Source organism: Homo sapiens, chromosome 12, assembly GCF_000001405.40.
Source record: "Homo sapiens chromosome 12, GRCh38.p14 Primary Assembly".
Taxonomy (NCBI): domain Eukaryota; kingdom Metazoa; phylum Chordata; class Mammalia; order Primates; family Hominidae; genus Homo; species Homo sapiens.
Window position 1 is genome coordinate 113,855,810 of NC_000012.12, and position 20,702 is coordinate 113,876,511.

General features: G+C 52.1%; 1 protein-coding gene and 1 long non-coding RNA gene across 8 annotated transcripts in view, besides 5 other annotated features; one reads left to right on the plus strand and one right to left on the minus strand.

Annotated features, from left to right (window-relative positions):
• Window positions 1-20,702, minus strand: part of RBM19 (RNA binding motif protein 19) — a 149,586-nt gene that overhangs the window by 39,070 nt on the left and 89,814 nt on the right. For all 7 annotated transcript variants that reach the window (XR_001748932.2, XR_944848.3, NM_001146699.2 and 4 more), the window contains one exon: window positions 2,982-3,087. Coding sequence is in view for 5 of the 7 variants with exons in the window: in NM_001146699.2 (NP_001140171.1) it covers window positions 2,982-3,087 (106 nt within the window). In the remaining 2 variants the exon portion in view is untranslated. The remainder of the gene's footprint in view (window positions 1-2,981; window positions 3,088-20,702) is intronic.
• Window positions 1,253-1,754: an enhancer, noted in NCBI's record as "H3K4me1 hESC enhancer chr12:114294867-114295368 (GRCh37/hg19 assembly coordinates)". NCBI's record gives its function as "activates a minimal SCP1, AML or CMV promoter by ChIP-STARR-seq in naive H9 embryonic stem cells {active_cell/tissue: H9 hESC(naive)}" and the evidence as "EXISTENCE:reporter gene assay evidence [ECO:0000049][PMID:30033119]".
• Window positions 1,755-2,254: an enhancer, noted in NCBI's record as "H3K4me1 hESC enhancer chr12:114295369-114295868 (GRCh37/hg19 assembly coordinates)". NCBI's record gives its function as "activates a minimal SCP1, AML or CMV promoter by ChIP-STARR-seq in naive H9 embryonic stem cells {active_cell/tissue: H9 hESC(naive)}" and the evidence as "EXISTENCE:reporter gene assay evidence [ECO:0000049][PMID:30033119]".
• Window positions 6,162-11,834, plus strand: LOC124903025 (uncharacterized). Its single transcript, XR_007063468.1, has 2 exons — window positions 6,162-8,007; window positions 8,559-11,834. It is a non-coding gene; the product is annotated as an uncharacterized LOC124903025 (long non-coding RNA).
• Window positions 7,178-8,377: an enhancer, noted in NCBI's record as "MED14-independent group 3 enhancer chr12:114300792-114301991 (GRCh37/hg19 assembly coordinates)". NCBI's record gives its function as "activates an origin of replication core promoter dependent on BRD2, BRD4, P300/CBP and CDK7 cofactors, and independent of MED14, by STARR-seq in HCT116 cells {active_cell/tissue: HCT116}" and the evidence as "EXISTENCE:reporter gene assay evidence [ECO:0000049][PMID:35650434]".
• Window positions 7,387-7,496: a silencer, noted in NCBI's record as "silent region_4896". NCBI's record gives its function as "represses an Ori minimal core promoter by ATAC-STARR-seq in GM12878 lymphoblastoid cells {active_cell/tissue: GM12878}" and the evidence as "EXISTENCE:reporter gene assay evidence [ECO:0000049][PMID:35858748]".
• Window positions 7,628-8,226: an enhancer, noted in NCBI's record as "H3K27ac-H3K4me1 hESC enhancer chr12:114301242-114301840 (GRCh37/hg19 assembly coordinates)". NCBI's record gives its function as "activates a minimal SCP1, AML or CMV promoter by ChIP-STARR-seq in primed H9 embryonic stem cells {active_cell/tissue: H9 hESC(primed)}" and the evidence as "EXISTENCE:reporter gene assay evidence [ECO:0000049][PMID:30033119]".

Sequence of the window (20,702 nt, forward strand, 5' to 3'; positions counted from 1 at the left end):
TTTACAATATTCAGAATCCTATTCACTAATATGCAGTGTGGACGATTCTACGGGTCAGTGGAGAGTGCTAAATGTTCCACTCAGAAGACAATAAAGTTCTCCAGACAGACCTGGAGCTGGGGAGGGAGAAAGCAATGGCAGCTTCCCTAGGAAACAAAAAGAGCAAAGGGATCCTTGCAGGAAAGATGTGCTTGTGATGGGCTCCTCCTTCCTGGAAGACGAGTGCGTTCCATGGCACAAGCCCCAGTGTGGGAGAGGGAAGTCACTACAGGGATGGAGGGGCCAGAAATAGCCACCTGATGGGGAGAAGGGCCAGTCCCGGAGAGGCTGTGAGTTGAGCCTGTACTGTCCTCGGCTGCCCTTTCTCCTCCCAGAGCCCGGAGTAAAGGCAGGGAAGGGATGGAGGGGGAGGAGCTGCCACCTCCATAAATCACTAGAGGGCTGTGCTGGGCTTCAGAAGGAACATCCACAGCCGGGCCTGGGTGTGCCAAGTGCGAGCCACCTGGGCACTTGGTGAACTTCCTCAATGGCACTCACTGCCTTGATTACCTGGGAGTCCACCTTCTGTCCTAATAAAGCTGAAGAGCAAAACTTAGCCAACGGTGACATGTCAAAGGGCTCATGGCTGGGGCCCAGCCCTGGTTGGACCCTCCATGTCCCAAGGGCTGTGTCAACTCGGCATCAACCTCTTGGTGCTGAAAGAGGGCTTCCAGTGAAGGGGCTCCAACGCCTTTGCTCTCTGCTCTCATCAATGGCTGGGATCCCCTCCACCTCTGACAAGCCATTCAGAACAGCAGTGAGCGTTTCCTGGAGGTGCACCCATTGGGCTTTAAATTTAAGGTTGACATCACAAGAGGCCCAGTGGGTGGGTGAGAAAAGAGGCCCAGTGGGTGGCCAAATAAGAAGGGGAACACCCTTTCTTATTTCAGACCATCACCACTGTCACCACCAATGCCTTCCGCCTCCTCATCACAGCCAATAGCCCGTATGTAGGGGCCAGGCCCTGTTCTAAATTATCACCCCATCCAAACCTCACAATGACTCTATGAAAATATGGAAAACCCTGTGACCATTTTACGAGGGGAGGAAACTGAGGCACACAGAAAGGATGTCACTTGCCCAAGGTCACACGGGAGATTTGTGGCAGCTCTGGGGTTCAAACTCAGGCAGTCTGGCTTTGAAGTTTGTATTGTAACAACAAGCTCTTGCATTGTTCTTTGTAAGAGACATTTCTTAGGAGCAGAGAGTGAATCCCTCATTTCTCCCCCAAGCACAGCCTCCTATAGGAACTCTGATATAAGACAGATGACAACACTTCTACACCATCACTGCCCAATCCCCTTGGATACCCAGAGCTCAGTGGAATGCAGTGGAGAAAAGACGCTGCCCTGTACTCTCTTCTATCCACAGAGCATCACATGTGTGCACGAATCCATAGACCAAGGGTGGCTCTGAAGGGAACCAGGCTGGTGGCAATGAGAAGGAAACGGTGTACTGGTATCGAGTACCCACCACATGCCAGGACCGAGTCAGTGTCTCCCATGCATCACCTGCCCTAACCCTGGGAGGGGGGCGCAGCCATCATTCCCGTTTCACAGATCAGAAAACTGTGGCACAGGGAAGGCCAGTGTGGGTTGAACTGCCGTGGGTGGGAGCTCTGAAAGGCAGCCCTCCGCTGCTGCCCTGAGCCAACACAGGGCACCACGTGCCTGCCCCGCTGTGAGGGTGAGGGCCGTGACCTGCTGCATGCAAGGTGTGTCCCCTGCTGTCTCTGATGAGAGGCGAGGGAAAGGCTGCCAGCCAGGAGGAGAGAGGAGCAGATGTCCAGACAAATATGGCCATGTGTCAACAAAACAGGCACTTGAGCTCAAGACTCGGAGACAAAGGTGGCTGGCGAGGCTCTCCGAGGGTCCCCATGCGCCTTCTCTGCCTGTGCATGTTCCCAGGGCCCACAAAGGCCACAGCTGTGTCCTGGAGCTGCCACCTTTGGCTCTGCACAGCTGACCCACCCCCTGGGCCTCTTGTGATGCCAGCCTGCTAAAGCCCAATGGCTGTGACTCCAGGAAATGTTCACTGTTCTTCTGAGGAGCAGCTCGTCAGAGGTGAAGGGGATCCCAGCCATTAATGAGACCTCCCTGTCACTTTATTTTAGCCTTGAGGAATAGTGAGGCTGAGAGAGGGGACAGGCCACCTGTGGGCAGAGCTCACGGAAGGCAGCCCACTGTGACAGCTCTGCAGCCACATTCCTTCTGGATTCTGACCTGGAGCTCAATGCCACGAGGGCAGTGGCTTTGGGTACAGCCAGGCTCTTGTTCACACAGCCTCTGCCCCACATTGGAGGCTGGGCCCAGCACCCACTGCAGGAGCAAAGCCTGGCTGTGCTGTACTGAACCAATTTGGAGATGCCGCCTTGCTTCAAAAATAAAAGGTTCTCAAGGAGCCTGGAGGGATTTCGGTATGCACGCTTGCATGCAGCTGCACCTGCAGGGGCTGCCCTCACAGATAACCAGCACAAAACAGAAGCCCTGGCCATGAGCGGAAAAAAGGAAGGGGAAGACGCATTCCCGTGGCTGCTTCTTGGGTGTCTCCTACTCTCCAAGCGCCCTGCCCTCTCTGCACTGTTCTGCGTGGCATTTCCCATACTGCCTACCCCAGGGGGCCACCTGAACTGAGGAATTTTCTTGATGACGTGGAGAGGCCTGGGAAACCCATTTGCTTCCCATCCCCAGTTTATGTCCCAGGTTCCTGCATATGTGAAACTAGGGGAGGGAAGGGGACACAGAAACTGCCCCTTCCTCCAAATACAAACCCCCCAGGATCTTCTCCAAGGATGTTGTACACATTAAGCAGAAACAAAGGCAAAAAAAGAACACCTGCATGGGGAGGTGACTCTGTGTGTGTTAGAGGCCTGGCTGTCTCTCCTACAATGGGTACTGGAAAGGGGAGGCCTGGACAGGTGGGGAAGGGATTCACGGTCTCACCTTCGCATCCTGCTTGGTGAGGAAGTCCACAAAGCCGAAGCCTCTGTGTGTGCCTGTCCCAGTCATCTTCTTTGGCAGGCGGACCGTCTTCAACTCCCCAAAGGTGCTAGAAACAAAAGGCAAGACATAGGGGTTTAAGAATAGAGGCCCGCAAGGGAGGTCGGGAAGGCAGGACTGATTCTCACATGTAAATCCCTTTGGGTTATAAAAGACAAGTGCATGCAGGCACACACACGCTCACACATGTCAGCTCAGGGGCATGAGCAGCCTTCTCCTCCCAGGCCCGGGCCATCAGGCAGGGCAGGGAGGGAACAATCAGGCTGGAGATGTGAATGGAGAATTTTTAGTTCCTCTGCAACCAGCTAGAGACTCCCTGCCCCCATGGGGCCCCACTTCCCTGTGGGGTAACTATGCACTGGGGAGGACCCTGCCTAGTACACAAGCAGCCAGGCTCCGGTTGAGGGGCCTGGCCAGGGCAAGGGGCTGCCCATGTGTGCTAGTAGGGGCTCTGGACATGTGATCAGCAGGGTTGCCTGACCTTTCCAAACTGCCTGTATGTCTGAGCTGAGCACATGGCGACCCCAGGCTGAGCAAATGGGATGGGGCCCTTTCTCCTGGACCTGGGACCTGGGACATGTATTTCTTCAGCGCTCAAATGATACGCAGCTACTCCCTTTAAACCCTGCTTCCCCTCCCTGTGAGCTTTCATTTCGATATCTTCTAAGCCAAAGTCAGGCAAAGCTCTGGAGAAGAAAATGGCTTGGCTCCTCCTGATAGGGATCAAACTGGTAACCACGGCCTTGGACCATCCCCCCCGGTTCCCTTCTCTCCTCTCCTCCAGGTTAAACCTTTGAGAAATTGTAGGACAAAGGGATAGGGCTTTCTCAGGCCTCCCTTGCCTCCCTGTCTCACTTCCCACCTCCCAATCCCTTTCTAATGTCCATTTATCAAATATATATGCACAAATTGCTACCGATAAATATTTAATGTGCACGGCATCTGAAGAGAGGTATTATTTTATTTGAAAATCTACACACACTTGCGGCTGCCTGGGCACACACACATATGCACGATGGTCTAGGATGCTTCGGGGCCAAAGACTGATTGGGTAAAAAACACAGTAAAGGCCGTAAGCTCTCGTGAAATGATATAAGCTAAATCCGAAGTGTTAACCCACAGCCCTGCCAGCATGACCAGGCATCTGCCAGCCCAATTTCTGAAGGCAGGACAGTGTGTAAATGCGGCATTATGAATCCTCAAAATGAATCTGCACGTCTCCTCGGAGCTCTCCCCAGCAGCTCTGCTCCCCCCTCCTGGTGCCTCCTCTGTGCAGGCAACGAGAAACGGCAGAGAGGCACTGGTGACAAGGCCAGCCTCCCGGGGAGGGGAAGGAGCCAGGAACGTGGGGAGTGGAGCCCGGTCAGGTTTCCCTGCTGGAGGGGGGCCAGGGCTGGGGACCAGAGGCTGGGCAGGTGGGGACAAGGTGAGGTTGGAGAGCTGAGGAGTCAAGCCCACAAACCCTACTTCATTCTGCCACCTAAAGGCGGATGCATCCCATGACAGACACAGTCTCTCTTCCCTCCACCAAAGCCCCTCTGCCATGCTGGCTTTGAACAGGGAGGGAAGGGCGTGGACAAATTTTCTTGTAAGCTCGTTCAGATGAATGGTTCTTTGGGTCCAAGTCTTCAGAAGCCCACTGGGACTACAGGGATGGCACATCCGGCAGCTAAGGGGCTGGAGCCTGAGAGCGTTCAGAGCTGGTATGAGGCAACTGAGAGGCACATGGAAGACCAGGCTGGGTGCTTTCTCAACACGGCCATAGACAGCCACTGGGTGAGCTGGTTCCTCTGTCCGTGCCTTGGCCTCACCTAACTGCACTAGCCCCGAGATGTCTTTCCTGACCCCTGGAGGCTGGGGTGACTGCCCCCATCCACAGTGTCACCGCTCACTGTGCCCCCTGACCAGGGCTCTGTGGGGTGCATGCCTTCCCTGGCCAGGGCTAGGGCTCAGCTCCGCAAGAGTCCAGGCCCCATCTATCTTGCTCATCACTGGACCTGTGTCAGTGAGCCCAGGAGTCGGGCTCAGGGTAGAAGCCTGAAGGTGTTTTGGAACGAATAAACAAGCAAATGGTAGCCCTGGAAGGTAGACATTACCACGGGTAAATTACACCTACCCTCAGAGGGCGGTGATGAGGGTGAAATGAAATACACATAGCACAAATGTGAACTATTGTTAGCCTTATCATTCCCATGTTACAGATGAAGAAACCAAGGCTCTGGGAGCCAGGGATCCTTCCTCACAGGCAACAGGGTTAGAATGTGAATCCAGGCATGTCTGACGTTAAGCCCAAGCTCTCTTTCTGCTGCACAATGACTCAACCCGCTTGCATCATCTGGACGGGGACTGGCCACTTGCAAGAGCTGGGGCCTCTTTCTTCCCGAGTCTCGGCCAGGTCTGAGGTGAAGCAGGAAGGCCCCATACGGGGTGGCTAGGAATGCCCTGTGTGGACTCCCAGGGGTCCAGTGACTTCCCTAAGACCACCAGGCAAGGTGGGGGTAGACCGAGTCCCAGTTCCTTCTGCCCACACTGTGTGCAAACCCTCTACTTCTGCCCACAAGGGCTATAATCTCCTATCCCTTGATGGTCTCAATGACCTCTGCCCAGATTTCTGGTAAGCCAGACTCTGTGTGTGTGTGTGTGTGTGTGTGTGTGTGTGTGTGTGTGAAGGAGAGAAGGGGTCGGGGGGTGGTGGTGTGAGAGAGAAAGAGAGAAGGAGAGAAAGAGAGAGAGAGAGAAAGAGACTGTTGGGGTTAATTCCTCCCTCTCTGCAGCACACTGCAAGCTGTGGATGCTCTGTGCATGGTAAGCAGCTAAGGGTCCGGAGAAAGGCGAGAAAAATAATTAAAAGGTAGAGAAAAACGCTGTTGAGGAGAGGCTACAGAAGACATGCTTTTGTGGCCTGCAAAAGTGGCATTTGAGAGTTCAGCAGGGAAAGCTGGGACAGAAGGGCACCCTGGATCTACCAGGGATCGTAGGCAGGGATCAGGGAGCTGGGGATCCCATCCCAGGCAGCTGAAGGGCCTTGGGGGAGGTCACAGCTGTGGTTGGGGGTTTCCAGGCAGACATCAGCATGACAAATGAAACGCCACCCACAAAGACTCTAGAAGCTTCAGAAATCCTATTATTCTTCAGAGTCAGAGAAATGGCTACAGTGAGCAGGTTTCTTTCCTCCTTCTAAGAACAGGACATGAGAGAACTGAAGCTTAAGGAGGAGCTGAAAGATCAGGGTTAGATCTTAGAAGGAACTTCCCGATGTCTGTGGACACTTCCTGAAATGCATGGATGAGGCTTCAAGACACCATCATTGCTGCCATCATTTCCGCTACCAATGAGTGCCTGCAATATGCAGTCTTTTAAATACATCATATCCATGCCTCTGTTTTACAGATGGGAAAACCAAGGGACGGAGAAGAAAAGCGACTTGCCCATGTCTCATGGCCCCAGGAACTCAAAATCGAGGCGAGATCTTTCTCATCCGGGCTGCTTCTCCCAGCCCAAGAACAAAGCTGGACAGTGAGTGGCTTGGTTGCTTGTATAACGGTGTGGGATCATATAAGGCCAATACTAATGATCTCAGAGAGCTATCGAAAGAGAATTAAAAAGAAAAAAAAAGGTTGGGGGAGAAGAAATCGATGAAGTACCTTTAGCTCCTTGGAGATAAGCGATATATAAATACCAGCCATTATTAAGGTTCTTATCTGACAGCAAGGTCTACGAAGCTGTTTTTAAGAGCAGCTTTTGAAGGAAGTTGTGCATGAACCTTTGTCTCCTGGGAGCTGAGGCCAGTGTTGGGGCGAAGCTGCGCAGGGCCACCAGGGACTGGGGAGGAAGAAAATCACAGGGCACCCAGGAACTCCTCCCTGAGCCCAACTCTGCCGCTCGGGGGGAAGGAGATGCACACCACACTCCCCACTGTGCAGATAATAGAAACCACAAAGTAGCAATTACTGTATCAGAAGCTGTGAATAAAGAGGACATACCGGGCTTTTAAACACAGCCCTCCTTCCCTCCCCCACCAGGCTCACACTTCGGTAACAAACTCACACCTCACTTTTCCAATTATTTCATTCACCCTGGGTTCACCAATTACTCCCCCACCCTGCAGCCCCACCCCCTCTGCCATGCCAGGAACATGATTGGTGGTGGGTTTGTGGGTTTTCCACAACTAGAGTTTGTTGTCACGTTTCTAATTTCTTTTGAGGTGTGTGGTGGGGGGAGAGAAGGGAGGAGGGGGGAGGAGGTGGGATGGGGCTCCGAGGTGTTGCATGAGGCAAGCCAATTATGCCCAGCACTCATAAACAAGTCGGGGGATGGAAATCGTGTTTGCACACAGGCCTGAAGGCAGACACAATACGTGTGTCTGTGTGTGTGTGTGTGTGTGTGTGTGGGGCCAGCGTATGGGTGGGTGGGGATTTCCTCTCTCCGTGCAAATTGCGTGCCCCCTGACTGGTCTTGCCCCAGCCCTGGCCAGCAGCTGCTACCGAAAAGGGATGAATCATCTTGGGTCTCTCTCTCCCTCCCTGACTGAAGCGACAGGCTCAGGGGGAAAGAAGTGAGAGGAAGGCTGGAGCAGAGGAAGCGAGAACCCTCCAGAGATGCGGAGCTGGACAGTTTTGCAGCTGTGCTGGTACCTGGAGCCTGGGCAGGCTGGGAGTCCTGCTTAACCCCACAGCCTGCATGCTGGCACCAAGTGGGGGTCAAACCTAGGGCCTTCTGCTCCCAGGACATAAGTCCCCCTCACTATTCGGATCTGCTGGAAGAACCAGAATCCCAGCAGAAGTGCTGAGTCATGTGGGGGAGTTTGCTGGCATAACTTCTCCCCACCTGCACCCAAGGCATTGTTGAGAAAAGAAAGTCTGCTGCCACCTAAGAGACCCAGAATCAGAACAACGGTGTGATCTGAACAAGATGAAGGGGTGGTTTCATGATAAGAATAAACTACAAGCTTCTTCTGCTCCTTCTAGAGGTAAGAAAAAATAGCTCAATCTCTTGGCATTAAAAAGCCTTTCAAATATGCCACCCCTACCAATTTTCTAACACACATGATGCACATACACGCACATCTGTCCATTCACTGGGTACTTCCTCAGCGCTTACGTGCCCTGCAGCATGTTAGCACCTGCTGGACATGAACTCACAAGGCCCATGTGAGCTGAGCAATGTCAATCCCATTTCCTAGATGGAGAAAACTGAGGCTCAAAGAAGGAACATGATTTCTCCAAGGTCTCGGTGAGCCCTTACCTACCACAACAGGCGAAGTGACTTGCCCAAGGTTCCATGGGCAGCATCAGGCTTAGCTAGGCTCAAAGTAGGCGGTGTGCCCCACAGGTCTATGCTTTGCTAAGAGCTCACACGATTGGTCCACCTATCTACAAGCAGCCAAAGATGATGCAGAGTGCAGGGAGGGAGTCACCAGCAGGTCAAGTATTAACCTTGCCCTCACCTTGATTGGGGGCAGCTGCATGGGAAGCCTCTTAGCTGGGAAGCAGCCAGTGAGCTCCCTCCCCTCTTCCTCAGATGCTCAAGAAGACTATGGGATAAAGCCACTTATCTCAACTGATAAAGGTATAGAGCTGAGGATGCCTGATCTTTGCTTACTGCTCCCCTGGCCCCATCCTAAAGAAGGGCCCCACCAGTGAACTTATGGACCCATGGAACCATTCCCACTGAGCAAGAAATATGGTAAGATGGCAGCTGCCTTGCATGGTGTCCTGTCTCACATTCCTCTTCCCTTACAGAGTTCCCATGTGGCCAAGGGCCCCAGTTGTGGCAAGTTGGAGAGATAGACCAACTGCACAGCTAGGAACAAACCTATCCCTTCATCTATAATGGGCAATTTCTGTAGTGGAGGGAGGCTTGGGAACAGAACTATCATCTAAAATTCTCACTTTTCCTGAGATACATACAAACTAAAGCCTTTGGTGAGGGCTTGTCTCAAGCCTGTCTCATCCAACTCTCTAACAGAGGCTAATCCAATCAGTCTGGTGGGTTTCAATGGGTACTAGTGCCCCAAGTTTCACAAATATGTGCTAGTCATCGCCACTCCCACAGTGGGTTTCAATGGCTACTACTGTCCCCAGTTTCATGAATATCTGTCAGTCATCACCATTCCCACAGTGGGTTTCAATGGCCACTACTGCCTGGAGTTCTGTGTGTATGTGCCAGTCATCATCTCTTCCAAATTGCTTAACTCTCTAATGGTTTTTGCATCCTTAGAATAATTTCTGAGCTCCTTACTTGGGAATCAAGGCTGTGCCTGATCAGACATACTTTTCTTGCTCTCCAATCTTATCTCATGCCCTGCACCCCCTCATTTACTATGAAGAATCCACACTGGCTTTCCCCATTCCCTGAACCCACCAAACGTATGCTTACCTCAGGGCCTTTGCACTTGCTTTTTGTATCACCTGGAACCCTGCTTGCCTAGATGTTTTCACAATTGACTCTTTCTTGCCATTCAATTCTCAGCTGAAATGCCACCTCCTCAAAGAGGCCTTCTGTGACCATCCTATCTAACGTTGCCTCCTTTGCACACCCACCCCTGCCTGTCACATCTGAGCACTGTCTGAAATGGCTTGTTTACTTATTTATCTTTCCTCTCATTTTGCTAGAGACTGAAAGTGGACTCCAAGATGTCATGGCTCTTATACTCTGTTGTGTCTACAGAACCTGAGACTGTGTCTAGCACTCAGAAAACACTGTATCCATTCATTTAATCATGAATTCATCATCTATTGACATCTCCCCGAGTGCCAGGTCCCTATACTTCTCATGCATTATCTCATATAACTGTATGTTCTTGTGGAAGCATAGTCACACTTGGGGGCAACATATTCAGTCTTTCTGTCCCATAGGATGATGCTCTTTTATGCAGTGCAACCATATGCTATTACAAGGAGCATTTGGTCCTCAAGAATCAACACTCTTTCCAAAGTATCCATGTTTATTCCTTCCAGGCAATGAATCATCACAGCAAGAAAAAAAAAAAGGGGGCAGGGGGGCCAGCTAGATCATTTACCAAGGGAATACTGTCTGGATAATGATGTTCAAATCATGTGCTGCTTGGTGGGAACGAGAAGACACTGGCTCCTTCACAGGCAACCCTGGCCAAGATGCAGACACAAATAAGGAGTTTCAGCATGGTTTGCCCTGCACTGAGATGTTTTCTCTCCCGCAGAAGGTTATGTTGATGAGTGTGTACAAAGTGCAGGGTCAAGCCTGCTCTGACAAGAGGCAATGGCTTTGGAAGCCATTTAATGGAGGCATATTTAGGAGTGGAGTTTCTTCCTCTTCTGTTCTTGCTCTCCCTTCTTAGAGTGCCTTTTAGACTGAACTTCTCCAGCTACTGCTCATCATGGTGAGAGCCAGGTGTAGAAAGGTTACCTTATCACCATCAACGCAATATTCCCTTTCATTTTTGCCTCCTGGAGGCTGAAAAATGGCCTAGATTCCAAGAAAGTGAAAAAAAGAGGTGTGGAGGAGGGCCTTTAGCTTTTCTCAATAGCGTTTCCTTGGGGTCCTTTCCAGGCAAGCATGACCCTCTCTCATTTTCTAGATGAGAAATCCCAGGGATGAGCACTTAAATGGTATTTCTAAATCAGAGTCAGGGCCTGCGTTTCAGATGGAACCCACAGACTCTCCTGAGAGGCTCTGGATGGGGCGGATTTGGCATGCAAAAAGTAGGCTCCTGGCCTGGCTCTGCCCTCACCAACTGGGTGAACCTGGGCAAATCATTTCCAGCCTGGACTGATACCTGGACTGGTAGCATCAGCATCACCAGGGAGCTTGTCAAAAATGCAATGTTCTGCCCTCCTCTTGTCTTTCTGGATCAGCTCAGGGGCTGCACCAAGCCCTCTAGGTGAGTGTGGGCCTGCTCAGGGTTGAGGTCCACTGCCCCACTGGAAGGGACAGGGGCCACTCAGCCCCAAGCTAGATAGCCAGGTGGACATCTGGGCCCAGGACTAGCAGATCTTCCCCTTCTTCCAAAGAAGCTAGTGGTCCAGATTATTTTAAGAAATGAGATTTTAAAATATTGGTAACAAAGTCAAGACACCGTGTTGCCAAAAACAACAGAAGGAGTCTGTGGGCTGCCTTGGGTACCACGTCCTACATTTGGGCTCCATTCTGATTTTGGTTTCAAGAGATCATAAGAGCTGGTCTATATCCCTAAATAAGGAATCCTCTTACCTCCTTATGACCTGGGGTTAGGTCTTGGGACAAGCAACAGGGTCTTTCTGACCTCTCCTTTGGCCCCTGCAGCCTACCAGCCCTCTCAGTTGTGTTCACATCATGTAGCCTCTGCAGGATTCTAAGCTCCTTGGGGACAGAGAGGGTCTTGCCATGGCAATTTGCTGCACAGCATCTACCTCAGATGTGAACACATTTGTGGCTACACTTAATGAATGAATTGAATCATCCCTCGCCAATCTCCAGCACCGAAATCACAATTTGAAGCTTGGTAGGAATTTTCATGGGACTCATCATTCAGATACTATGGATCCTGCAATCATCACCAGGCAAATATTTCCCAAGCATATCCTCTGTGCAGGCACCAAGCTCTGGGCTGGGAAAGAAATGTGGACCTGATGTGCTCCGGCCTCCAGGGGGCGTGGATTTTAAGCCGGTGGTTTTCAATCCCCTCCAACCCAGGGTTGGTGCACACTCTCAGCAAAATAGTTTTCAGCATGCATCTCCAATATATGTACAGTTTAAAACTGATAAATAATATGCATATGTACTGCTATTTCATTCTCTTTGTAAATCTTTAAATAAAAATTAGGAAATTTAAGGCCAGCTACGGTGGCTCACACCTGTAATCCTAGCACTCTGGGAGCCCAAGGTGGGTGAATAACTTGGGGTTAGGAGTACTAGACTGCCCTGGCCAACATGGTGAAGCCCCATTTCTACTAAAAACACAAAACAAAAATTAGCCAGGCATGGTGGCGTACACCTGTAAACAGCCCAGCTAGTGGGGAGGCTGAGGCAGGAGAACTGCTTGAACCCGGAAGGTGGAGATTACAGAGAGCCGAGATTGCACCACTGCACTCTAGCCTGGTTGAGAGTGAGACTCTTGTCTGAATAAATAAATAAATAAATAAATAGGAAATGTAGAAGGATGAAATAAAACCTAAGTAGAAATGGACATTCTAGTATTTTTTCTCCTGTTCCATCGCAGGCACCTTCGGTAGTCACACCCTTTATTTAAGAGCACACAGCAGGCCAGGCATTGTGCTAAATATAGTCCATGTATTACTCTTATGCGTCCTCAGTAACTCTGTGGGGCAGCTGTGTGGCCATTTTACATACAGGAAAAATGAGTCTCTGGCTGCTTAAGGTATTTACCAAAATGTACAAAGCTATTAAATGGTGAGACAGGTCTCACACCAAAGCCTGATGAAACCCCAAAGCCTATGCTCTCCTTACCTGTTGCCTCACAGTAGACGGGGTAGATCTGTGCGTACAGTTTAGAAGCAACTGAAGGGGGAACCCTGTCTGCTGAACCTGAATAGAGTCCTCGGGCAGAGAATTTCATAAAAATAGAGTTTTAAAAATCAGAGATAACTTTTTTAAAACAGTGTTTCTTGAACTTGTCCTGAAAGATATTGATAGATATTCTATGTTTAAAGTCTTCTGGGATTTGGTAAGTTTGGGAGACATCTATTTAAACAGAGTTCAGCAAGCTTTTCTGCTGCAGACCTTGACAGTGCCTTTAAGATGTTAGGTGCATGGAGGATTTCTCTGGGAAAGGAAAAGACATAGTGTTTCTCAAACTCCCAAACAAGGAAAGCTATTAGCATCTCTCAGGACACTGGTATTCCATGGAATACAGCTGGGAGGTACGATATGGGAGAGGAGAAGAAGGCAGTCACTTCAGAAGGGCCGAACATACACATTAAGGCACAAGGCCTTGGTCTTTAACTAACATTCAGGTAACACTTCTAACTCACCAGGGACTGTATACAGCAGGGAGCTTCTGCAGAGGAAGTCTAGCTCTGACAGTGAGGGGCTGAATCACAGCATCACCAAAAGAACCTAAGTGCGGAGCCAGACTTTGGTTCAGATCCCAGCCCGGCACCTGCCACCACCTTTCTGAGGCTCAGTTTTGTCACCTATAAAATGGGCTCCAACCAACGTCCCCCAGCCCACACAATGTCGTTGAATCCAGGTTCCTGGCATGTATCAGGAACTGAAGAAATGGGAACTGTTGTGAGTAATGTGCTTATCTGTGAAAAGGATCTATATTGGTGCCAAGCAGGTGACCCCTCCTAAGCCCTTATGGTATTTTGGGTCAAAGCGAGGAACTGGCTGAGAGTCCGACCCCTCCTAGTGAACATCAGGAGTTCCCAGAAAAGACCTGAGATGGCAAAGGGGCCTAAGCAAAAGAGGCCAGATGTGATTCTGTGATTCGTGGAACTCTGAAGAAGCAGTGGATCTCCCTCTTATCCACATGGATAATTGGAAGAAATTGTCCCCAAGGAGGCATCTCTCAGCCAGACCCAGGCACCTCTGCCATCCCTTGGGCAGGGCAAGCCCTTGGGATAGCTGTGCATGCTCCTCCTCTCAGGAGAGGATGGAGGCACGATTTCTGGCCTGGGGTACTGCATTCTGGTCAGTTCCACCCCTCTGCCTGAGTGAGTTAATGAAACACACAGTGGATGCTCTCCCCCACTTTCTCCCCCTCTAGTCTTCAGCTGCCTCAAGTACAGCTAATCCCATTACAAGAAAATAAAGTGGATAATTCAGGCTAATGAAATCGTTACTAAAATGTGGCCAGCCAGAGGTGGACATTCAGAACCAATTTAACACCCTTTGGTGTCGTTATCCTCAGTACACGAAATGTGAAAAGAGGAAGGACAAAAATTAAAGAGGAAAAAAAAAACCCAGCCGTTTGCTTGTTATCTTAAAAATGGTTCAAGAATTAATCAGCCGCATATCTTGCTTTTTGCTATTATCTCCATCAGGCCTGATATCTCCAAGGTAACTCCAGAAACTCCAAGAGGAGATGAAGAGAATCCAGGAAGTCACCAGCTGTGGTGAACATTGTGCCTAACTTGACACCCTTTGTTTTGCCCATTTCTGCTGCCACTCTAAGAAAAGCCACTATGGGGTGAACTCCTGGGCTCCCAGGGCTGCTCCACGTCAACACCAAATCTAGAAACCTCTGGTACTGGATTTAACTACCCCTGGGGTTGCCATGAAGATGAAGTTCCAGGATCCTGGAAGGCTGAGGGTGGAAACCAAGTTAGTGATGAGGCAGGAGGAGAAGATGGGGTGAGCTCTCTTGTAAAACAGAGCAGGGAGCTGGATCTACTGTTTCAGAGTGAGCAGGCGATGGCAAGCAGGAAGACACACTGTGTCGCCGGCTCACACCCACTCCTGCTGCCTGCTGCCTGCTGATGGCCACGCCTCCTGAAAAGGCTGGATTCAGGGTGGCCGCTCAACTTCGCAGCACCTGCTATCTCCACTCTGTGCCCACTCCTTCGCCTGCCACGTCTCCTACAGACACTGAAAGGGCCCTATCAATTTATTTGGTTAAGATCCATTTCAATGCTCAGAACCCTAATGTGGTCTGCAGAGCATGAATCCAGATGGCCTCGGGTTGCCTTGCACCAGTCCTGTACTGTGCTGCTCTCCCAGTCTGTTTTGACTCCTCAACCTAAGGCAGGAATCTTCCAAAGACCTGGATCCTCCTACTTAGAGAACAAGGAGGGCAGGTGATGAGAATAAGGGGGCTATCAATGGAAAAGCAGAGCAACAAGATCTTACAAATACAGGGAGAATGTCCACTGAGGTTGCAGGGTTTTGCAGGGTTTTGCAGGGATCAAGGGAGGGGCACAGGTGGGTAGGTAGAAAGTTCCAGTCCCTAGGAAATTAGAAAACTCTCCATGTATCGTCTCCGCACTAACAGCACCAAGCAGCAGCCCATAGCCACCAACACCGGCTTCTGCTTACTGGTCAAGAGGAAGACATCCCAGGGAGATTTGAGATTCGTGACATAGCAGTTTGTGACTATCAGGGTGCTGACCTCTCTGAGAAGCACAAGGTGACACACCTCAACATCCAGACACATCTACATGGTTTCCAGAGGGCATCTCTATGACAGGGGCCCTCCAATGGCAGCAGGAGGCCCCTGCATATGGTTCAGTGAACCAGATTCCTCTTGCAGGGCACAAATGGAATGTGAGGCAATGCCACCATTTAGGGGCCAGCACAGAGACTCAGGGAACAAGAAGCTTAGAGCAAAGCAAGTCACATGATGTTAAGGCTATGTGACTACTACAGCCTGCACAAGGAGATGTTGTCACGCACTCCTCAAGACTCCAGAGAAGCCAAAATAAAGAAAAGAGCCCCTGGCAAACAAAATGATGCCTGAAACCCACATACTAAGCTTCTGCCTGTCACCTATGGGAAAGCCCTTGGCCCTGCCCCGTGGCCCAGCCACTGAAAGCCTATTTACTTTTATTTTAGAAACAAACTCGTTTATTTAATTTCTCATCCCAGAGGAGTTGAAAAGGGCACTGGGATTAATAGTGGCAGGTTCCTAAAAGACTTCCAGAAGTGACAACTAGCAGCCACGAATTAGACCAGGGATGCACACATTTTTTCTATAAAGGGTCAGACAGTCAATAATTTTAGCTTTGCGACTACTCTACTCTGCTCTGTAGCGTGAAAGCGGCCCCTGATGATATGTAAATGAGTGGGTATGGCTAGGTGCCAGTGAAACTTTATTTACCAAAACGGACGACGGGGACGTAGGCTTTAGTTTTTTGATCCCTTGATTACACAAAAAGTATCAAAACATGATATTAAAACCACTGGAAAAGCACAGCAGTCTGGGGCTATTTAGGACAGGGGCAAACAGCAGACACACCTCAACAGATCTGACCAGTGTCCCCAGACTGTGGCCTGGGCTCAGGATTCCTTGCACTGGTTAGAAAAGGCACTGTGTCTCAGTCTTTGCCGCCGCGCCGGCGAGCGCCGCCCGGGAGGCAGCGGCTGGAGGAGCGGACGGGCCCCGCGGGGCCGGAGGGCAAGGAGCAGCCGCCTGCCTTGGCCTCCCAAAGTGCCGAGATTGCAGCCTCTGCCCGGCTGCCACCCCGTCTGGGAAGTGAGGAGTGTCTCTGCCTGGCCGCCCATCGTCTGGGATGTGAGGAGCCCCTCTGCCTGGCTGCCCAGTCTGGAAAGTGAGGAGCGTCTCCGCCCAGCCGCCATCCCATCTAGGAAGTGAGGAGCGCCTCTTCCCAGCCGCCATCACATCTAGGAAGTGAGGAGCGTCTCTGCCCGGCCGCCCATCGTCTGAGATGTGGGGAGCGCCTCTGCCCTGCCGCCCCATCTGGGATGTGAGGAGCGCCTCTGCCCGGCCGAGACCCTGTCTGGGAGGTGAGGAGCGTCTCTGCCTGGCCGCCCCGTCTGAGAAGTGAGGAGACCCTCTGCCTGGCAACCACCCCGTCTGAGAAGTGAGGAGCCCCTCCGCCCGGCAGCCGCCCCGTCTGAGAAGTGAGGAGCCTCTCTGCCCGGCAGCCACCCCGTCCGGGAGGGAGGTGGGGGGGTCAGCCCTCCGCCCGGCCAGCCGCCCCGTCTGGGAGGTGAGGGGCGCCTCTGCTCGGCCGCCCCTACTGGGAGGTGGGGAGCCCCTCTGCCCGGCCAGCCGCCCCATCCGGGAGGGAGGTGGGGGTGTCGGCCCCCCGCCCGGCCAGCCGCCCCGTCCGGGAGGGAGGTGGGGGGGGGTCAGCCCCCCTGCCCGGCCAGCCGCCCCGTCCGGGAGGTGAAGGGCGCCTCTGCCCGGCCGCCCCTACTGGGAAGTGAGGAGCCCCTCTGCCCGGCCAGCCGCCCCGTCCGGGAGGGAGGTGGGGGGTCAGCCCCCCGCCCGGCCAGCCGCCCCGTCCGGGAGGGAGGTGGGGGGGGGTCAGCCCCCCCGCCCGGCCAGCCGCCCCGTCCGGGAGGTGAGGGGCGCCTCTGCCCGGCCGCCCCTACTGGGAAGTGAGGAGCCCCTCTGCCCGGCCAGCCGCCCCGTCCGGGAGGGAGGTGGGGGGGTCAGCCCCCCGCCCGGCCAGCCGCCCCGTCCGGGAGGGAGGTGGGGGGGGTCAGCCCCCCCGCCCGGCCAGCCGCCCCGTCCGGGAGGTGAGGGGCGCCTCTGCCCGGCCGCCCCTACTGGGAAGTGAGGAGCCCCTCTGCCCGGCCAGCCGCCCCGTCCGGGAGGGAGGTTGGGGGGTCAGCCCCCCGCCCGGCCAGCCGCCCCGTCCGGGAGGTGAGGGGCGCCTCTGCCCGGCCGCCCCTACTGGGAAGTGAGGAGCCCCTCTGCCCGGCCACCACCCCGTCTGGGAGGTGTACCCAACAGCTCATTGAGAACGGGCCAGGATGACAATGGCGGCTTTGTGGAATAGAAAGGCGGGAAAGGTGGGGAAAAGATTGAGAAATCGGATGGTTGCCGTGTCTGTGTAGAAAGAAGTAGACATGGGAGACTTTTCATTTTGTTCTGCACTAAGAAAAATTCCTCTGCCTTGGGATCCTGTTGATCTGTGACCTTACCCCCAACCCTGTGCTCTCTGAAACATGTGCTGTGTCCACTCAGGGTTAAATGGATTAAGGGCGGTGCAAGATGTGCTTTGTTAAACAGATGCTTGAAGGCAGCATGCTCGTTAAGAGTCATCACCAATCCCTAATCTCAAGTAATCAGGGACACAAACACTGCGGAAGGCCGCAGGGTCCTCTGCCTAGGAAAACCAGAGACCTTTGTTCACTTGTTTATCTGCTGACCTTCCCTCCACTATTGTCCCATGACCCTGCCAAATCCCCCTCTGTGAGAAACACCCAAGAATTATCAATAAAAAAATAAATTAAAAAAAAAAAAAAAAAAGAAAAGGCACTGTGTATTTTAGGAAGATTTCCACTGAATGGTCAACATTTTCAGAGGGCTGATACTTAAAGGTATAAGGTGGCAAAGTCACTTACTGGGGAAACCCCTCATTGTTCAGTGATGGGAGAAATGAGACGCATGGTGCGGGTGATGAGCTGAGTTACACGTGTCTGGACCAAGTGGGGAGTGCTGTGCCCCAGAGGGCCAAGAGCCAGATATCTCGCCATCACCCTGGAGACCTGCTTAGCACAGAGACAAACAGATGAACCTAGAAACCCAGTCACCGCCCTGCTAAATGGAAACAGAGAACAGCAGCAAGGTGGAGGGTGCCACCTCAAAGGTGCTCCGACCCAGGCTGCTTGTCTGCACACGACTAGCATTTGCTGTCACCCTGCTTCATTTGTCACCTCGATGTTATGGGACTTTGCATTCTATTGCACATTTTTTCCCCTCTATTTGTTTATGGTTGGTCTTCCTTGCTAACTACTGAATGGCCGGCACCCAGAACAGTTCCAACAGCACCTGGCACACAGTAGGTGCCCACTAAAAAGTGTCTGTGGAGTGCTGATGAATGGAGTTATTAATGGATGCTTGTCTTTTCCTGGATTTTCTGATTTCTGGCCCCTCTCATGATCGGGCTCTCAATACCTGAAATAAGAAACGGGGAGTGGGAGGAAGCGGCACTTGCTGAGCACCTGCCCTGGCCATGCCAAATGCTCTACACGCGCTGCCTCCCTTTAGGCCCAGAGCAGACCCACTGGGCGGCAGGCCTCCCAGGACGCATGTGAGACCTCGAGGGGAGGTCTTATCTGAGGTCACAGGACTTGCGTGTGGGTCTGTCTGACTGTGGATTTTGCTTTGGCACACTGTGCCCCACCCTGGGGACAGTAACCAGCTTCAGCCCTTGAACTCAGTCCTTATGTTCTAGCTGGAGCCCGCCAGCCACTGGGAAATGATGGCAGAAGTGGAAAAAGAGGCTGAGGAGATGATGATGGATAGGGAAGGCGGCTTCTGAAGAGCTAGCATTCTAGAGGTTTCTGACACCTGCCATGAGGAGGAACACTCCAGAACCCCCATGATGTTGGAAAGCCCAGTTCAGATGCTCCCCATCCTCTTGGCAAAAGGCCAAAGCATCCAAATGGCCCTACACAACGGCTGAAAAGAGGGAGCGGGCATGGTCACTGAGTCTCCCTGGGAAGTCCCAGACCAAGAGGTCACAGCCATGAGGGGACCACTTTTCCAGACCAGTGGGGTACAGATTGGGGTGTACTTCAGGTAATTGAGTAGCTTCAACATCTGAGCTTCTCAAGAAAGCCAGGCCTACTGTCAACCAGGAGATGACAGCCAAGACACCTCTGCAGAAGATGCAAGCGGCGAAGCCACGGTGCGGACCGTTCGACAGAAAGCGTTGGAGGCCTCCCAGGGACATGTCAGGGGACAGGGAGCACGGGAGCGAGTGATTCATGCCGCAGAGCCTGCCAGTGCTCATGGGGAGGAGAACGAATCACCCTGCTGGGACAAATATTATTTTTAAAAGTCTGGGAAAGAAAACAACAATAAAACAAGCCGAGCTCAGGATGACTGGTGAGTTTTAAGATGCAGGGAAGGGTTGAAATGAATCTGCGAGTTGGACCATTTGTTTGAGGCCAAATAAACCAACAAAGAACTCGATTCAATTACAAAAGTTTAGAATTGGATGGTGAGTCAGAAGCTGAGAGCCCAAGAGGTCTAATCGGGTCTGTGCGTGGCCTGGAGTCCAGGACCGAGAGGAATGGACTCTGGAAGGCTGGTTCCTGGTGGTGATAGGAAAAGGCAGAACATGTGAGTCAGAGCACGCAAATGTGACAGCCCAAGTCGGGACAGCCCTTGGACATCTTGGTGTATGTAGGTGGGAGTCTCTTTTCTTAATAAGAAACCCAGTTAGGACCAGATAGGATTTGGGGTGTAGCAAAACCAAGGAGCCTGAGGCAGAAGTGAAGAGAAAGACGAGAAAAATCAATGGTCAGGAGGCCCCTTGCAACAGCCACTGTTTATCTCACAAGTGCGTTAAAGAGCGTCATTTGCAAAGTTCACGCAGAGGGAAAAGTCAATGATCGTGTCTCTGGCGACGCACAAAGCCCAGGATGTGCTTCATCTCCCAGCTGCCTCTCTGTGCACACACAGGAGAGGGGCCGTTTGTGTGAATCTCGGCCACACCTCCCCTGTCCTCACTTCCTCCTCCTCCATTCCATTTGGAAGATGGGGAAGTGTGGTCACAGCTTTTTCTGAGGCACAGTGACTATTCCAGCAGGCCTGTGGTGACGTGTGCCTTGGGGTGGGTGTGGGGTGGGGAATTTATTGTTAGAGGAAAAATAATCAAAGGTTTTCACACCCTCATGGGGCAAGGTGGGAAATAATTAAAACCAGACTAGGATTCTCTGACTGGATTCAAGTCCCGCATTAAACAGAAATTCTGTCTGGATCAGATGTTGTGTTTCCTATATCTGGGTGGGGGGCTGCTCCCGCAACTGCAGGGCAGAATCTGCAACCTATGCTGGGAGTGGCTGCCACCCACACTGGGAAGAAGGTAAGTCTAGAGGCATAGCTGGGAGGTGGGGGTCATGAGTGTGAACCTGGGAGTCCAGCTGCCTCCAGTGCTTATAAGCCTCTCTCCTCCACTTGGCCTCGGCTTGCCCATCTGTGAAATGGGGACAATGGTCTCCATGCTCAACAGTTGTGTTAAGGCTTAAAACAGATAATAAATCTATGGCAATGAACACAGAGCTGGGCCCATAGTGAGTATTCAAGAAGAAGTAAAATGGGGT